Source organism: Homo sapiens, chromosome 5 (genome assembly GCF_000001405.40).
Source record: "Homo sapiens chromosome 5, GRCh38.p14 Primary Assembly".
Taxonomy (NCBI): domain Eukaryota; kingdom Metazoa; phylum Chordata; class Mammalia; order Primates; family Hominidae; genus Homo; species Homo sapiens.
The window spans coordinates 53090305-53109827 of NC_000005.10; the positions used below are offsets into that span (position 1 = coordinate 53090305).

The 19523-nt window shown below is 38.1% G+C and overlaps 2 protein-coding genes across 8 annotated transcripts in view, besides 1 other annotated feature; one reads left to right on the plus strand and one right to left on the minus strand.

Annotated features, from left to right (window-relative positions):
* ITGA2 (integrin subunit alpha 2) overlaps positions 1-4475 on the plus strand; it is a 105428-nt gene extending 100953 nt beyond the window's left edge. For all 6 annotated transcript variants that reach the window (NR_073105.2, NR_073106.2, NR_073103.2 and 3 more), the window contains one exon: positions 215-4475. Coding sequence is in view for 1 of the 6 variants with exons in the window: in NM_002203.4 (NP_002194.2) it covers positions 215-295 (81 nt within the window). In the remaining 5 variants the exon portion in view is untranslated. The remainder of the gene's footprint in view (positions 1-214) is intronic.
* On the minus strand, positions 5375-19453 carry MOCS2 (molybdenum cofactor synthesis 2). 2 transcript variants are annotated; one of them, NM_176806.4, is made up of 7 exons: positions 19408-19453; positions 18218-18339; positions 16773-16917; positions 11793-11920; positions 11055-11205; positions 10107-10230; positions 5375-8363 (listed from the first exon to the last, which is right to left on the minus strand). In NM_176806.4, the coding sequence occupies exons 1-3, from the start codon at positions 19423-19425 to the stop codon at positions 16791-16793; spliced, it is 267 nt and encodes an 88-aa protein (NP_789776.1). In that variant the 5' UTR covers positions 19426-19453; the 3' UTR covers positions 5375-8363; positions 10107-10230; positions 11055-11205; positions 11793-11920; positions 16773-16790. The 2 variants fall into 2 exon arrangements, with proteins under 2 accessions (NP_789776.1, NP_004522.1); NM_004531.5 differs by having other exon boundaries at positions 18947-19453.
* Positions 19192-19481: a silencer, noted in NCBI's record as "silent region_16005". NCBI's record gives its function as "represses an Ori minimal core promoter by ATAC-STARR-seq in GM12878 lymphoblastoid cells {active_cell/tissue: GM12878}" and the evidence as "EXISTENCE:reporter gene assay evidence [ECO:0000049][PMID:35858748]".

The window sequence follows — 19523 nt, forward strand, 5'->3', positions numbered from 1 at the left end:
TGAAAAATGTAGCTTTATGCAATGCAGCTGAGCTCTCTGGATATAAATTTCCTTCTAGCAGGTGGTAGATATCAGGTCATCAGTCTGCACACCTCCCTTCAGAGCCTCAGGGATTCCCAGAGGTGCATCAGAGGACGTGGGCAGCCAAGGGGGTCAGAGGCACCTTACAAAATAAGCCACGGGTGGTAACATTCTTATATCATCACCTTTACAGCTCGGCTTCTTCAAAAGAAAATATGAAAAGATGACCAAAAATCCAGATGAGATTGATGAGACCACAGAGCTCAGTAGCTGAACCAGCAGACCTACCTGCAGTGGGAACCGGCAGCATCCCAGCCAGGGTTTGCTGTTTGCGTGAATGGATTTCTTTTTAAATCCCATATTTTTTTTATCATGTCGTAGGTAAACTAACCTGGTATTTTAAGAGAAAACTGCAGGTCAGTTTGGAATGAAGAAATTGTGGGGGGTGGGGGAGGTGCGGGGGGCAGGTAGGGAAATAATAGGGAAAATACCTATTTTATATGATGGGGGAAAAAAAGTAATCTTTAAACTGGCTGGCCCAGAGTTTACATTCTAATTTGCATTGTGTCAGAAACATGAAATGCTTCCAAGCATGACAACTTTTAAAGAAAAATATGATACTCTCAGATTTTAAGGGGGAAAACTGTTCTCTTTAAAATATTTGTCTTTAAACAGCAACTACAGAAGTGGAAGTGCTTGATATGTAAGTACTTCCACTTGTGTATATTTTAATGAATATTGATGTTAACAAGAGGGGAAAACAAAACACAGGTTTTTTCAATTTATGCTGCTCATCCAAAGTTGCCACAGATGATACTTCCAAGTGATAATTTTATTTATAAACTAGGTAAAATTTGTTGTTGGTTCCTTTTAGACCACGGCTGCCCCTTCCACACCCCATCTTGCTCTAATGATCAAAACATGCTTGAATAACTGAGCTTAGAGTATACCTCCTATATGTCCATTTAAGTTAGGAGAGGGGGCGATATAGAGAATAAGGCACAAAATTTTGTTTAAAACTCAGAATATAACATGTAAAATCCCATCTGCTAGAAGCCCATCCTGTGCCAGAGGAAGGAAAAGGAGGAAATTTCCTTTCTCTTTTAGGAGGCACAACAGTTCTCTTCTAGGATTTGTTTGGCTGACTGGCAGTAACCTAGTGAATTTCTGAAAGATGAGTAATTTCTTTGGCAACCTTCCTCCTCCCTTACTGAACCACTCTCCCACCTCCTGGTGGTACCATTATTATAGAAGCCCTCTACAGCCTGACTTTCTCTCCAGCGGTCCAAAGTTATCCCCTCCTTTACCCCTCATCCAAAGTTCCCACTCCTTCAGGACAGCTGCTGTGCATTAGATATTAGGGGGGAAAGTCATCTGTTTAATTTACACACTTGCATGAATTACTGTATATAAACTCCTTAACTTCAGGGAGCTATTTTCATTTAGTGCTAAACAAGTAAGAAAAATAAGCTCGAGTGAATTTCTAAATGTTGGAATGTTATGGGATGTAAACAATGTAAAGTAAGACATCTCAGGATTTCACCAGAAGTTACAGATGAGGCACTGGAAGCCACCAAATTAGCAGGTGCACCTTCTGTGGCTGTCTTGTTTCTGAAGTACTTAAACTTCCACAAGAGTGAATTTGACCTAGGCAAGTTTGTTCAAAAGGTAGATCCTGAGATGATTTGGTCAGATTGGGATAAGGCCCAGCAATCTGCATTTTAACAAGCACCCCAGTCACTAGGATGCAGATGGACCACACTTTGAGAAACACCACCCATTTCTACTTTTTGCACCTTATTTTCTCTGTTCCTGAGCCCCCACATTCTCTAGGAGAAACTTAGAGGAAAAGGGCACAGACACTACATATCTAAAGCTTTGGACAAGTCCTTGACCTCTATAAACTTCAGAGTCCTCATTATAAAATGGGAAGACTGAGCTGGAGTTCAGCAGTGATGCTTTTAGTTTTAAAAGTCTATGATCTGGACTTCCTATAATACAAATACACAATCCTCCAAGAATTTGACTTGGAAAAAAATGTCAAAGGAAAACAGGTTATCTGCCCATGTGCATATGGACAACCTTGACTACCCTGGCCTGGCCCGTGGTGGCAGTCCAGGGCTATCTGTACTGTTTACAGAATTACTTTGTAGTTGACAACACAAAACAAACAAAAAAGGCATAAAATGCCAGCGGTTTATAGAAAAAACAGCATGGTATTCTCCAGTTAGGTATGCCAGAGTCCAATTCTTTTAACAGCTGTGAGAATTTGCTGCTTCATTCCAACAAAATTTTATTTAAAAAAAAAAAAAAAAGACTGGAGAAACTAGTCATTAGCTTGATAAAGAATATTTAACAGCTAGTGGTGCTGGTGTGTACCTGAAGCTCCAGCTACTTGAGAGACTGAGACAGGAAGATCGCTTGAGCCCAGGAGTTCAAGTCCAGCCTAAGCAACATAGCAAGACCCTGTCTCAAAAAAATGACTATTTAAAAAGACAATGTGGCCAGGCACGGTGGCTCACACCTGTAATCCCAACACTTTGGGAGGCTGAGGCCGGTGGATCACGAGGTCAGGAGTTTGAGACTAGCCTGGCCAACATGGTGAAACCCCATCTCTAATAATATAAAAATTAGCTGGGCGTAGTAGCAGGTGCCTGTAATCCCAGTTACTCGGGAAGCTGAGGCAGGAGAATCACTTGAACCCGGGAGGCAGAGGTTTCAGTGAGCCGAGATCGCGCCACTGCACTCCAGCCTGGGTGACAGGGCAAGACTCTGTCTCAAACAAACAAACAAAAAAAAAGTTAGTACTGTATATGTAAATACTAGCTTTTCAATGTGCTATACAAACAATTATAGCACATCCTTCCTTTTACTCTGTCTCACCTCCTTTAGGTGAGTACTTCCTTAAATAAGTGCTAAACATACATATACGGAACTTGAAAGCTTTGGTTAGCCTTGCCTTAGGTAATCAGCCTAGTTTACACTGTTTCCAGGGAGTAGTTGAATTACTATAAACCATTAGCCACTTGTCTCTGCACCATTTATCACACCAGGACAGGGTCTCTCAACCTGGGCGCTACTGTCATTTGGGGCCAGGTGATTCTTCCTTGCAGGGGCTGTCCTGTACCTTGTAGGACAGCAGCCCTGTCCTAGAAGGTATGTTTAGCAGCATTCCTGGCCTCTAGCTACCCGATGCCAGAGCATGCTCCCCCCGCAGTCATGACAATCAAAAAATGTCTCCAGACATTGTCAAATGCCTCCTGGGGGGCAGTATTTCTCAAGCACTTTTAAGCAAAGGTAAGTATTCATACAAGAAATTTAGGGGGAAAAAACATTGTTTAAATAAAAGCTATGTGTTCCTATTCAACAATATTTTTGCTTTAAAAGTAAGTAGAGGGCATAAAAGATGTCATATTCAAATTTCCATTTCATAAATGGTGTACAGACAAGGTCTATAGAATGTGGTAAAAACTTGACTGCAACACAAGGCTTATAAAATAGTAAGATAGTAAAATAGCTTATGAAGAAACTACAGAGATTTAAAATTGTGCATGACTCATTTCAGCAGCAAAATAAGAACTCCTAACTGAACAGAAATTTTTCTACCTAGCAATGTTATTCTTGTAAAATAGTTACCTATTAAAACTGTGAAGAGTAAAACTAAAGCCAATTTATTATAGTCACACAAGTGATTATACTAAAAATTATTATAAAGGTTATAATTTTATAATGTATTTACCTGTCCTGATATATAGCTATAACCCAATATATGAAAATCTCAAAAATTAAGACATCATCATACAGAAGGCAGGATTCCTTAAACTGAGATCCCTGATCCATCTTTAATATTTCAATTTGCACACATAAAACAATGCCCTTTTGTGTACATTCAGGCATACCCATTTTAATCAATTTGAAAGGTTAATTTAAACCTCTAGAGGTGAATGAGAAACATGGGGGAAAAGTATGAAATAGGTGAAAATCTTAACTATTTCTTTGAACTCTAAAGACTGAAACTGTAGCCATTATGTAAATAAAGTTTCATATGTACCTGTTTATTTTGGCAGATTAAGTCAAAATATGAATGTATATATTGCATAACTATGTTAGAATTGTATATATTTTAAAGAAATTGTCTTGGATATTTTCCTTTATACATAATAGATAAGTCTTTTTTCAAATGTGGTGTTTGATGTTTTTGATTAAATGTGTTTTGCCTCTTTCCACAAAAACTGTAAAAATAAATGCATGTTTGTACAAAAAGTTGCAGAATTCATTTGATTTATGAGAAACAAAAATTAAATTGTAGTCAACAGTTAGTAGTTTTTCTCATATCCAAGTATAACAAACAGAAAAGTTTCATTATTGTAACCCACTTTTTTCATACCACATTATTGAATATTGTTACAATTGTTTTGAAAATAAAGCCATTTTCTTTGGGCTTTTATAAGTTATATATTTTACTATTTTTATCTTATACATTCACTTTGCTCACATCCAAGACTCAATTTAAGAAGACTGAGGCTATAATTAATTTGCCATAAGTGTCCAGTCTATGTTTCTAGCAGTGACCACAAGGATCTTCTTTTGTAAGACTCTTAAACTGCCTTCGAAGTTTTGAGACAGTGTAAAGCATTGCTCCTCAAAGTGTGGCCCAGGGACAGATGGTGCTGCATCACCTGGAGCCTGTTAAAAAACACAGATCTCAGGGGCCACTCAAAACTATTCAAGTCAAATTGTAAGTTCTACAGCATCCCCAGGTGATTCATATTGCATTGAAGTTGAGAAGCACTGCTCTAAAGCTTACCTTTTGAAATAAAATGTGTGCTTGGAATAGAGAGGGAAAAAAAATCAGCCAAACTGCTGCAACATGCAAAAGCAGAGTCATCTGCACAGTTTAAAAAAAATCATAATAAGCAGGAAGGTTTAAATATTTTTAAAGAGTAAATATGCTGAAATAAATATGCTGTAAGTTATAAAGTAAGTACACGTTGGGCTCACAGACTGCCATCGCTGTACAGATGGCAGAGTAATGCAAAGACAGGGTGGAAAGTGTGTGTGTGCTGCCATAAATAGCGATGCACCAGCATCTCCATTCATGTCTGCGGCGCTCTCTCACATGCCTCCCTGCCCATCGCAGTTGTGCTGAGCCGTCTCAGGAGGGCAGCTCACTGCAGCACAACCATCAATAAGTGTGTCTGCTATATATCTCACATTAAAATACAATCTTGGAGAGCTGAATGTGGGAATTGCAGCTACTTGGGAGGCTGAGGCAGGGAGGATCCTTTGAACCCAGGAGTTCAAGGCCGGCAACATGAGACCCCCCCCCTCCCAGCTCTTAAAAAATAAAATGTTAGAGAAAGAGAGCACTAAGTTTTATTTCTTTGTTTTTCACAGAGCAGGTTAGGAAATGCTGTACAGGTTAGGAAGACCTGTATTAAAGCAATCATTTATATCCCATAGTTAACTGGAAAATAATTTTATACTTACTTTTTAAAAAGTACTTCTTTTTATTTATTCTACATCACTTGTTAAAAACTACAAATTGCATTTTCAAAAACTCCTTCCTGATCCTATCATAATCTTTTAATATTTTTAAGGTGTCAATTAAAGATTGGACATCATCTTACATAAAATCAGGGCCTAATTTTCATTTCGGAACCACTACAGCCTGACTTTAAAGAAAATGGCTACTAAACTGAACTTTTGGTTCTATGCAAAATTAAATCTAAGTAAGACTCAAGTTGCTAAGAGCAACTTTACTATAACTTTTACTATGGCTCTGGCTCTACTGCCCTCTGCTGGATGATCCACCGAACTACATCACACAAATCATTCTTGAGAGATCTTCACTGTACCAGGTGCTCAGTAACTGTGTAAGATGTCTAAATCACTTATTTCTCAAAAAAGGCTGAAAATATATTGTGACTCTATACATCATATCCAAAGGACAAAAATGTCCACAAAATAAGTCACTCATTGAATATCTGCTGTTACTTTCATTCAAAGATGATAAAAATCAATTTCATTTTACCACCTGTTCAAAAATACTTGAAACATAAATAATTTGAATTTCCTATTTCTTAAGTGAACTTACCTAGCAATCATGCAAAGTCACGGCTTTAAAGTGACCAAGAAACACTGCAGGCAATCTGATTAAAGGCTAATTATTTTTTTTAGATTACTCTTCTAGTTACTTGAAGCTAAGTTACAGAGATGATAGAAAAGCTACATATCAGAGTGACAGTAGCCCCTTAATATCTGAACCACCAATTAACTCTGCCACTCCTAAGTAAGCAAGGGTCAGTAAAGATCCTATCTAAGTCAAGTGCAATGCACTAAAATCTTTCAAGGCCATTCCATCCCAGTTCTGGCATGCCCCAGGTTAACTCCTTAACCTCTCTGTTGGAGACTTTAAAAGCATAACAGTCTCAGTTCCAAACTTAGAATAAAGCCTACTTAATGAAGGCATGATTCTTTTAAAACATAAAGAATGTTCTATGTTCTTTAAAAACATCATTACCCTCAATAAGGAACTTCTAAAGAAATATCTAAGTAGGAAAGTCTTGAAATCCACATATACCTATCAACATTGCATATGACATAACATCCATTTAACAACCTATGTCCAAAATCCTAGAAATGTCCAGTGACCCAGTAACCCCATGATAATGTGCTTTTAGATATAATGCAACAGCCAACACCCACCCCTTCTCTCCAATGGGGACAGGCGGAAGCTCGATGGCAAGCCAGAGTGACACTGAACTGTGAAGGTAAGGCTGAGACCAAACAGGCAACCCGAACCCGGCAGAGGAAGTAGGCGGAGGGTTTGTCTGCCCTTCCAGTATCCTTCTGGCCCAATCTCTCCAGACGGACTAATGAACAAGCATCAACTGATGTAACCAGGTGATTCCTAAAGTCAGTGTGGCTGTCCTATGGGTCCCAGCCACAGATAAGATGCAGAGTGTTCCTCAAGGTATTTTAGGTTGGCAGAAAAAGATCACTGGGTGGGTGCCTGGCACAAAACAGGCATTCAATAAATATTTGTTGAATAAATGGGTTCCTTAGGTAAAAGATGTTTTCACTACATATAACAAATAGGATTACTACGTTTCTTATTTGTCCCAGACATAAGAAAAAAATCCTTCAATCTAAGTGTCTGAAAGTATAGCTTTTGTTCTTAATATGCATAATGCAAATTTTGTGATGATGCCGACTGCCCAAATTTTGCCTGTATTTTATTATTTTATGAGCTATGTGTTTACCTGAAATTTGCTGAGAGTAGACCTTAAATATTCTCACCACACAGAAGAGGGGACTATGTGAGCTGAGGAATATGTTAATTAGTTGGATTATGGTAATCACCTCACAATGTATATGTGTATCAAAAATCACATTGTATACTTTAAATACATACAATTTTTGTCAAGTATACCTAAATAAAGCTGGAAAAAAAAATTTAAGAACTATATGGGACTTATATGTACAAGTCTATCAAAATACTATAAAGCTTAACCAGTTAAAAATTGGGGCATTGTTTACCTAAACATTTCAACACAAACCACCTTGTTGCTAGTTAGCTTTATGACAATTTTGTGCTGATTTGTATATTGATACAAAATTAACAACTAATAAAAAACAACAAAAAGTTTTCTGGTAAGATTATAGATTCTGAAATCCCAGAAATCTCCATAATGAGAACTATTTTAGGCAATTTAAAAAAAAAGAAAATACTCTTTTTAAACTTTTGAAATCATGGGTTTTAGTTTATTATTTTTAATATATTTCTGAAAATGTATAATATCAAGACTGTCTGATAATGCTTTTTTAATACTTTCCAGTTCTGCCAACATTCCTGTCATGCATCCTTAATAACAATGCTCTCCCAGAACCGGGATGGGGGGCGGTGAGGTGGGGTTGGTGGGGGAGTACGTTTCTGAGCTAGTTAAAGTCACTGAGGAGGGCCCATACCTCAATGTGTGTTGAGTTACAATTAGAAATTAGTCATGGAAGGACATGTCTACCACAGATATCTTTCCTCACATTTAAATTATTCCATTTCTTCCTACAGTCCTCCTTCTATCTTTAGTTCCATTTTAAATAACCCTTCATCCTACATACCCATTTATCTTGCTTCCTTTTTCTCCCTTTTGTCCCACTAGTATAAGAGATTGTGCTTCAGTAAACTATCCTGATGTGGAGAGAAAAAAATCAAAATGTGATCAATAATAATAGTTTAACAAAGTTAAGATTGCATGCTCTAAAAACATAAGTGATTAACTGTTGGATGCCCAAAAGCACTCTTTGTTTCCTTTCCAAGTTGATGACTCTTCGTATATTTCCTAAAAAACAAAATCATAACAGGTATTAAAAATAGACCATTCTACTATACGAATATAAAATATATTTGAATAAATCAGACAAATGAATATCACATCTATTTCAATGGCTCCTCTTTTAACAATCATGACGAGAGACATCATGGGCAAGGTTACATAGGGGAAGACAGAAAGTCTTTAGTTTTAAACATTTTTTTTTCTTTCCAAACATACCTACTACTTCAACATTTCTAAATATGCTTTTCCAAAGGCAGATATCTTCATTAGCTGTTGAATTAAGTGGTCACCTCTCAGAAGTTCCTAAACAAGTTTGAGCTGCCCTCTGGTATGAGCTGTTCTTTGACATATGCACTCTACCTACCTGCCACCCTTCCCTATATCACAGATGATCTCAAAGCACAGGCCGAGACTAGAACCAGACTAGAAGTTACATAGTTTGTGGAAAGGAGGGGTAAGGAGAACATATCACTTTCTCTTCTCACTCTCTAGTCACATTCCATTTCTGTAGGGAGAGGAATTCAAATTCAACTGTCCTCTGAACTCCTGCACTTCCTCGGACTCTCTATGGACAAACAAAAGCAAAATACGAAGCCCAACTAGTCCTCAAAGCATGAAAACAAGAATATGCCCCAACTCCTGCTCATTACCTGTATTTCTGGGGTTGCTCCCATCTACTTTCTGTCCACTGACTGTGCACCCTTTCCTCCCTGGTGAAGAAAGCTACCCCTGCCTTCCAGGCTTGCAGCTGATCTTAGAATGCTCTTCCTACCTCTCGCTCTCTGGGGGCCTGCCTCCTGTTGTGTCAGCCTTGTTCACAGCAAGGGAACAATATATCTGAGCTTCACTAAGTTTCCTTTCACACATATTCTATCCTCTAATCCCTACGTATTCTAACAATGGGCTTCAATTTTATTCTGAAAACATGGTCATCAAATTTCCCAGGCCCTGGTTATGAGTCCAACTTGCTTATTTCTACCACTGACTGAGGCAGGTCCCCTGGGAAGGAGGGGAGAAGTGCCCTTTAAAAGCCCTGGCTCTCTGCTCTGGTCTTTTCATCTACTGAGCTGTTCATTAACTCCTCAGCTTTCTGTCAACCACAACGCTGTAGGCAATTCTAGACAATTCTAGACATTGAATGTGCAACCACAGAACAATCCCACTGTTAATGTTACTACACCAGGGGAGAAACTAGGGAGTTGGGCCTTTTCATCCCATCAGAATGCTCTATTTAACCAGAGAATTACTTGCCCTTATTGACAGAAAACATGCCAGAAGTTCCTATTTCTGTTTTTAAATCCACTCACTGCATTTTCTCAGAGGGAGCAATATCTCACCATTTTTTTTTCTTCCCTAAAAAGGACCTCTAGGAAAAGCCTCTTTCACTTTAAAGAATTTCTATTTTAGCCATTACCTAAATAGCTAATGCATTATTCTCACTCTCCAACAGAAAGACCCTCTAATTCAAGGGAATTATAATCCAAGGAAAATAACTTCATGTATGAACCCCTCCAACAGTCCAGACTAGGAATTCTCACTGTTATCACTCATTGAGGCTTACTGTGTGCCATGCATTCTTTGGGGCACATATTTTTCATGCTTAACAAATCTTGGAAAGAAGATATTTCACAGATAAAGAAAACAAGATACTACAGTCAGTAAAAAGTCCATAAATATGGGGGGATTTATCTAAAAATTCCTGAGAAAAATCAGGTCCACATGCTAAAATGTGTTATTTTCTTAACTTACCTTTTTCCATATGGGCACCTTGGCTTTTAAAGTATCAATGGCATAGCTCACAGCTTCAAGAGATGCAGCTCTGTGGGCTGAGGACACAGCAATGATTATGCTTGCTTCTGACACTGGAACCAAGCTTTAACAAGATGAAGAGAAAAAAAAATCACCATCATCTCTGAATCTACGTGTTAAAGAATCTGCTAGACAGATGAAAAAAAATCCAGGTATGCAGTCTTAGAATTATACTGTAGTTCTATTTTACGTAAACATACAGTTAGAAAAGAGTAATTAATTGCAGTAGCATTCAGCAGAGGCAGTAGATGAGGCTGATGCTACAGCTAATTTGTTAGAATCTATCCACTAAACCCTCCTGATGGGCACCAAGGAAAATCCTTTCATTGATAGAGCAAACATCTGACTCAACAAGGCACAGTGCCAAGTAATGCCTAGAAATACAAAGTTATGTCCTAACGAGTATAATACAAAATTTAAAATAATACATATCAAGTAATAGGAGTGATAATAACCATTAATAAAACTACTGGTTATTAATAACAAACTAGTAACTAACAGAGTATGATAGATACAGTCTCAATTACTGGCTTCTTTTTAAAGCCAAGAACTCTTCTCTTTTTAGGGGTACAAAAAGGCAAACCACTCTAATGACTTTCGAGGCATTTATATCAAAAAGAATCTGTCACAGATTGTCATAGGGCCTGCAAGTCTTGGCACAACTGCAGTTTGTTACAGCAACAGAGGCAACAAGAGCTCTCCCAATATCAAAACTCACTAGGCAGTCCCTAAAGGTACTAACAGCCATCCCTATTGTCCTCCAAAAATAATACATGAATATTCCTCTCATGGTAATATAGAATTACTAAGAAAGATTCAAGAATCAGAGTTAGTACAAAGATGGAAAACAATTACACTTAACTTTTAGAGTGATAAAGGAAATCATACCCAAGTCTATGGAACACTGCTATGTGTTTGACTGGCCATTTCTGCCTAATGTCACTACAAATCTTTCTGACTTCATTTTCCGCCATGGGTAGATATGCTTCATATTCTAAGCTAATGACTTTTTTCCCTTCAAAGTTATTTCTTGTAGTCCCTTTAAAAATGAAAAAAAAGAAAAAGAAAACAATTAAAATAAGGTTTTTCCCTACAAAAGAAATAGCACGTTAATAAAAAAGGAATATTTTTAATAGTAAATTAATAGTAAACAAGCAGCATACCAATTCTTCTAAAACTACTTTGAAATCTTCTAAAAACAAAATTTGATTAGGAAAATAAAACAGATCTTCACAAAGATGAGCACTGATTAAGCAAGCTTACTAAAAACACTCACCTGGCAAACCGGGCAATATTCCTCTTCTGACTAATAGATACTTAAAAGGAAAATATTTATGTTCCCAGGACTATCAAGTACATTTTTACCTTCAATTTTGGAAAATCTAGAATTCTCTCTCCTAACAATGACTTTTATCCTACTTTTCAAAATGCCTTGTAATTTAATATAGGTTAATTTGAAGGTTACTAAAACAAAACAAGAACTAAAAAAAAGTCTACCCACCATCATCGGTAATCTTGGTTTAAAGTTCAGTATTTCAAACTCCTCCGTTAACACTGAACATGGAAAGCACATGCTAATTTCTATTGTCTTATACAGTGATAGATGCAATGAAAATTACAACTCACCTACAAATAGGGATATTGCACCACAGAGCGGAGAAATCACCAACTGTGAGACTTCATCTACTGAAAGTTTCTCGGCAGTAAAGTTTATAACATCTTTAGATTTCTCTTCAACTTCATCCATATCTTTCCTAGAAATAATACATTAACAAACCTTAACAGAAGTCCTAGGGGTAAAACACTCAACAACTTATAGGCTCTTTCAATTTATATTTTTTTCTACATTATGTCGATGTAAAAGGAAGAGGCTGTGGCACAAAATATAGTTTACATGAGTCAAATCAAGGACAGTGGCCCAGGATGCTTCTAAGATACCTTGGGGAGTTCCTTTGGGGAGCACTCCCTCGGCCTTTGTTGCAAGCAGGTTTGTAAAGGCAAAGGGAACAAAAAGTGGGCTGATACAATGATACAAAGTTTCACCAAGAATTCTCACTGGCATACAGAGATAATGTTGATCACTGATTGGCTGTACACTGTTGAACTATAGGGTGGGTACAAGTTAGAGTGTCCAGCATATGGACTTTATGGTTTCTTAGCTTCAGCTAGTCTGCAGCCCTCATAATAAGTGGCTTCAAGGGACCAGTGGCTCACACCTGTAATCCCACCACTTTGGGAGGCCGAGGCGGGTGGATCATTTGGGGTCAGGAGTTTGAGACCAGCCTGGCCAACATGGTGAAACCCCGTCTCTACTAAAAATACAAAAATTAGCCAGGCGGTAGTGGCACACATCTATAATCCCAACTACTTGGGAGGCTGAGGCAGGAGAATTGCTTGAGCTTGGGAGGTGGAGGTTGCAGTGAGCTGAAACTGATCATGCCACTGCACTCCAGTCTGGGCGACAAAGTGATACCCCATCTCAAAAAAAAAAAAAGAAAAAAAAGGTAATGATGCAGCTTAATGGGGAGTGACATGACTGCCATTTCATTCCAGTGCCTTTCTGTGCCTCTTAATGTTTTATCTGACGGGCTCACATTCCTCAGATAAAAAGTTTCTTTTCTTTTTTTCCCCACCATTAAATGTGTTAGGAGGCATGATTTGATCTGAATGATAAAAATAAGCAAGTGTAAAAATTAACAAAACTCAATTATGTGTATAAATATTCATAATGAATCAGGCATGACATAAAAAGTAATCCATTATTAACATGATCACTAAAATATAATCTGTCTCAATGCCAATATATTCCAAATTCTGTAACTGCTATTCATATCTCCCATCAAGATACAGTGGAGGTATTGCCACTTTCACCTACATGCCCATCCCCTCTCACCACTATGGTACCAAGCACCACACCTAAAGCTGTCTTTTTCTTTATCCAACAAAAAAGGAAGAACAGAAGTGACAGTGATTCTACTGGAACTGGGTTCCCTTCACAAACTGGCAAAACCCCAGGTAAGTAACTGAGGAAATAAGGGAATGAACTGCACACTTACTTACTAGGTATTGTGCAAAGCCCTTTGCCATGCATTTCTCATTTAATTCCTCAAACATTACTACATACTCACTAAGGGCCAGAGACTAGGGCCAGGCACTAGATATCAATCAGGGGAGAAAGAAGCTCAAGCTCCTTTCCTCAGCGTGCTTACATTCAAATAGGAGAAACAAAGCATTACAGGAGAAACTCAGAATTACAAATAGGGATAACTTATGGAAGTAAATAGGCTTCAGAGACAGAACCTGGGGTCTGGGGGAGATTTCTCTCAAGAGCCTCTATGAAAAGTTGCGACCTGAAAGATAAGGAGGAAGTCTTGTAAAGAAACCAGGGCACAGGCCCCCAGGCAGAGAGAGGGAGTGGCCAATGCCAAGGCACTGGGACAAGAAAGGGTGTGATGTGCTCCAGAACCTAGAACGAACGGAGAGAACTGGGCAGGCTGAGGCTGGACAGGTAGGTAGAATCTTGCAGGCAATGAGGAATATAATTATTAATCCTGTAAGGTTTCATCTGAATTGAAAGACGAGAGAAAGAAGGCTCAGAGAAGTTAAGGAACTCACTCAAGGTGCTGAAATTCCAACCAAGGAGTACTAGTTAAGCCAATGTTCTTTTTCCTATCTCCTTTCCACCACGGAAACAGCACAATTCTTTATATACCACTGGATTCCAGGATTTTTCATCTGCTACACAAGCCGCCTAAGTGTCTTCCACCTCTTTTTCTTGCAATAAAATATAGGTAATATAAATATGGTCTACGAGTTTCAAACCATACTGAGTTCCCACAACTTCTGATTTTACGAGACTACTAAAACCTAGCTGGCAGGTTTTAAAAATGCATAATACCAGTCCTGCGAAACACATTCAAGTAACACACAATGCTTTTGAGTAATCTTCGTAACCTTTTCAAAGAACAGCTGTAATTACCACAAATATCCCTTTAATGGTAGCCTATAGTTTTCTGAATAAATTCGAAATTCCAAAAAACTGCATTTTTAGAACCTCCTGAAATCATGGTGGTGATATGGTGACCACAGTTTCTAAATAGCATTGAGATACATATCTGACAAGAGATTCTTCTATTATTTCCAGATAGTAGGCCTGAGAAAGAAGCCTAGTGTTGACATGAGAGGCAATCTGTTTTACAGATTGATTCTTCATTTCTTGTGGCACTGCCCTCCAGGAGGGTGGGGAAAAAATGGGTGAAAAAAGATAAAAAGGCATCCTTGGCTTGCTCCTTTCTTTAATGGAACCAAGTTTTTGCCATTAAATATGATATTTACTCCTGATTTTGAATAAAAATCCTATCAAATTAAGAAAGTCTTCTTTCATTCCTAACTTACCAAGAGTTTTTATTCAGGGATGACTGTTAATTTCTACTGTTTGTTCCTCAGCTGACAATAAATTAAGCCTCATTCTGTCTGTACTTATAAGAAGCCTGATCTCTCCACACTATACTGAACAATGTTCTTGTACATTATCCTACTTGAATATGGACTAAGTTGTTTAGAAAGATGACAAGGTAGCATGGGTCAAAGAGCCACCTGCAACACAGCCATAACAATAAAGCTATTCCTTTAGTCCTGGGCAATGATTAGCTCTCTTTTCAGGCATTATTAGCTGTGAAATTTTTCTACATTTTCCATGGCCGGGAGAGCTATTATCTAGTATTAGTAAGTGTGGTTGGAAAAAAGTACACAGACAGTCCAATAATATGAGTTCAAATGCTGTCTTTTGAAAACCTCTTGAATCCTCAGCAAAAAGAACAAAGCTGGAGGCATTACACTACCCAACTTCAAACTATACCACAGGGCTACAGTAACCAAAACAGCATGGGACTGGTACAAAACAGGACACATAGACAAATGAAACAGAACCCAGAACCCAGAAATAAAGCTTCACACCTACAACTATCTGATCTTCAACAAACCTACAAAAACAAGCAATGGGGAAAGGATACCCTATTCAATACATGGTGCTGGGATAACTGGCTAGCCATGTGCAGAAGACTGAAACTGGGCCCTTTCCTTATACCATATACAAATATTAACTCAAAATGGATTAAAGACTTAAATGTAAAACCAAAAACTAGAAAAACCCTGGAAGACAATCTAGGCAACACCATTCTGGACATAAGAACAAGCAAAGATTTAATGACAAAGAAGACTCAAAAAGCAATTGCAGCAAAAGCAAAAATTGACAAATGGGATCTAATTAAACTAAAGAGTTTTTGCATAGCAAAGGAAACTATCAACAGAGTGAATAGACAACCTACCGAATGGGAGAAAAATTTTGCAAACTATGCATCTGACAAATGTCTAACATCAGCATCTCTAAGGAATTTTTTAAAATTTATGAGAAAAAACAACCCCAATAAAAGTAGGCAAAGGACATGAACAGGAACTTTTCAAAAGAAGACATACATGTGGCCAACAATCATATGAAAAGAAAGCTCAACATCACTGATTATTAGAGAAATGCAAATCCCAACCACAATGAGATACCATCTCACACCAGTCAGAAGAGCTATTATTAAAATAACAGATGCTGGCGAGGACGTGAAGAAAAAGGAATGCTTATACACTGCTGCAGGGAGTGTAAATTAGTTCAATCATTGTGGAAGACAGGGTGGCCTAGAGACTGAAATACCACTCAACCCAGCAATCCCATTACTGAATATATACCCAGAGAAATATAATCGTTCTGTCATAAAGACACATGCACACGTCTGTTCACTGCAGCACTATTCACAATAGCAAAGACATGGAATCAACCTAAATGCCCATCAGTGGTAGACTGGATAAAGAAAATGTGGTACATATACACCATGGAATACTATGCAGCCATAAGAAAGAACGAGATCAAGTCCTTTGCAGGGACATGGATGGAGCTAGAGGCCATTATCCTTAGCCAACTAATGCGGGAACAGAAAACCAAATACCAAACGTTCTCACTTACAAGTGGGAGATAAATATTGAGTACACATGGACACAAAGAAGGAAACCATAGACACTGGAGCCTACTTGAGGGTGGAGGGTGGGAGGAGGGAGAAGATTGAAAAAATAACTGATGGGCACTAGACTTAATACCTGGGTGACAAAATTATCTGTACAAGAAACCGCCATGATACAAGTTCCCCTGAACTTAAAAGTTAAATAAATTCTTTTTAATTTGGCTCTTTCACTTATTAGCTATGTGATTAGCTATGTGATCAAAGGCAAGTTTTTTAAGTCTTCTGAATTTGTTTTTTTACCTGCAAAATATGGATATTAATATGTCACTGTGCCTGACACATAAGATCTCAATAAACCATGTTAAATGAAACATATCAAACTGATATGTTTATTGTAATTAAACTGCTTACAATAGACTTGATGCAGAAATGGTGCTAGATATTCATAAATCTGTTGGCACCAATGAAGAGTTGCTGCATCAATAAAGATTTGGTACAGACAGACTTACAAAGAATATACATTAACAGCAAACCACATACACTTTATCATCTGTATGATCCTTCCCCACACGACTGATTAAGAAAAACAAATCTCACATACCTAGATGGCTCAAAAGCACTATCCTCCACTAATGGGGGGGATAACGGCAATTTCGTCTCCAGGCTGAAGCACGAGGAGCTGATCTCCAAGCTCGACATATTCTTGACGAACAGCAAATATTATCTGATTTCTAACATCAGCCAATCTAAAGGGGAAAAAATATGACTCAAAGTATCAACGCTATGATAGACCTCAAATCGCTTCAGCTGCAATTAGAGATATTACATAGATATAATTATATAAAGCATCACCTGCAAAATTACCAATTAAATTTACACATAGTATATGGAGAAAGGACATATCCACTGAAGAACATACTTATACACCACAAAGATACGTTAAACTGCTGTCAACTCTTTATTGGATGTTGTATGCCTTGGGGAATTAAACAACAAAAAAATGCACAAAAAACCCACCAGACTGGAGGCAACACTCAAACCAGGTCAAAAGAAAAGTTTCCAATCAGTACATGGCCTTTCCAGGGTCCTTCTATCCATGTGTTCAAGCACAAGTATAACTGCCCACAAACTATGCCTGTACACATTATCCTACTCGAATATGGATTAAGTTGCTTAGAAAGATGAAAAAGATAGCATAGGTCATAAAGCCACCTGCAACACAGCTTTATTAGCTGTTCCTTTATACCTGAACAATGGTAAGCTTTCTTTTCAGGCACAGTGAAAACGTATACAAGACCTGCTGTCTCCCTCCAGGTAAAGCAGAATGGGAGACCCCACTGTGTTTTATTGATTATCAGGCCACTGTAAGAGCAACTTAAAAGATACGAAATCATGAAGTGGTTTGCTTTTAAACACTTATTATGGAGTATCTTTTACACAGAACTAGGACTTCCAGGTTAAACACCTATACAAGCTAAGTAACACCATTAATATTCCTGAATCACCCTCAAATAAGTCACTTTTATATTTTGTTCCAAAAAGAACTTGAAGTGGGAATGACATAAGTAAAATTATAGGTTTTTCAAGAACCAGAAAAAAAATTAAATATTACAAAAACTCAAATTCAGCAGCATCTAGGATTTGTTGTAACTCATTTTTCTTTCAATCTTAGAAATTTCTATGTTGAGCTCTCTAAAGAGAGGGGCAGAACAAAATGTTTAAAGCACACATTTTTAACAGAATTTGTAACAATTTCATTTAATGTTATAAAATTGCAGAAGTGACATGTGCAGTGTTTTGTAAATTATCAAAGAGAATATAATCATGTCCCTCTGCGGTTCACTGTGTTTTGGGGTAAAATATCTTTAACCTTTCTTAAAATACGGTGCACATTTAGAGTTTTTCAGGTGTTCCAAAAAAAATACAACTAACGATTCTTTTTGACATTAAGCACGGAAATCGAAATTAACCTTTTTACTTTTATCATTTATGTATTTTGAAAATATCTAAGTGTTACTCATATGCATTCTACAAATTTTTAACTACCCAGGATGTCGAGTTTCTATCTCCTTCCACAGCTGCAACGCTTTTATTTCTTGAGGCACAGAAATGGTCTCTGAACGAACTCCTGTTATTTCAGCACTTTTTGCAAAATACAATACTTCAACCTGAAAGTAAAGAAAATGCTTTTAATAACAACTCATACTCGTTTTCTGACTGTCAATGTTGAGCAGTTTTCTCATTTTCCAAATGTATTGCTTTAATCAAAGACAAATTTTATAAAGAAAATTAAATAACCCGTAAAAAATTTCAGTATACCTACAAGTTCAAATTCTGAAAACTTGTTGTTTTAAATACAATTCAGACTAATTTCTGGATGCCTTTTAGTTTTACAAACTTAAGTGTGCCATCATTAAAATCCTAAGTATTTATCTTCTAGGAAAACATGTTAAGCCTGCCTTAATTGACATAAAAGTATAGCACCTTTTATAAATATGTAAGCAAAGAACAAATGTTTGAGTCAAGAGATGAGTTACACAAATAAAATAAATGAATAAATAAGCGAAAAACCTGTTTCTCACGGTTGTCAAATGACCTTAGATTCCGGTCTGTATAACATCGTCCCCAGACGCTAAGGATTAAGTTATGCAACATAGTAAATCTGACATTTACAGAAGCAAGTAGGTTTGAAACACACGACAGACTGGAATTTGCTAGAACAAACTTGTGCCAGCAGCCTGGTATGTAAGGGATCCGACGAAGTAAAATAGGCACCTGTCACTCCGTGCAAACAACTCTTTACGAAATAATTACAGGTTTGCAAATGATCAAGGGTGTAGAAATCCACAGATGAAGCACAGTTCTTCACAAGAATTCTCCATGAGGTGCATTTCTTTTTAGATTAAAATTTTAGCTTCATCAAAACGAATAATCTGGGAAAGAGGTGGTCATAAAAGGTGGAGGCGCCTTCAGAACGAGTCCGTCCTTGCTGCCGTGAGCTGACAAGAGTTCTCGGAGAGGACCCGACTTCTGCTGGGGCAGTCGCAGTAAAGCCCGGAGACAGGAAGGGCCCGGGGGCGGGGGCGGGGGCGCCCCCGAACCCAAGACGCCGGCCAGGTTGGGGGCTAGTGGGGAGGTCCGACTGACCAAGGCTGGGTATGTGGAGGGAAAGGGCGGGAGAGACACGTCGAGGAGGGCTCCGCACCCAGGCCCGCACGCACACCCGCCACCCTTACCTGGCACAGCGGCACCATCCCGCCTAGGACAGCGGGACCGAATCACGGCCGCAAAGGCGCAGGCGCGGGCTCACCCGGAGCGCAGGCGTAACCCGACGGCGCTCAGCCCCCGCCTG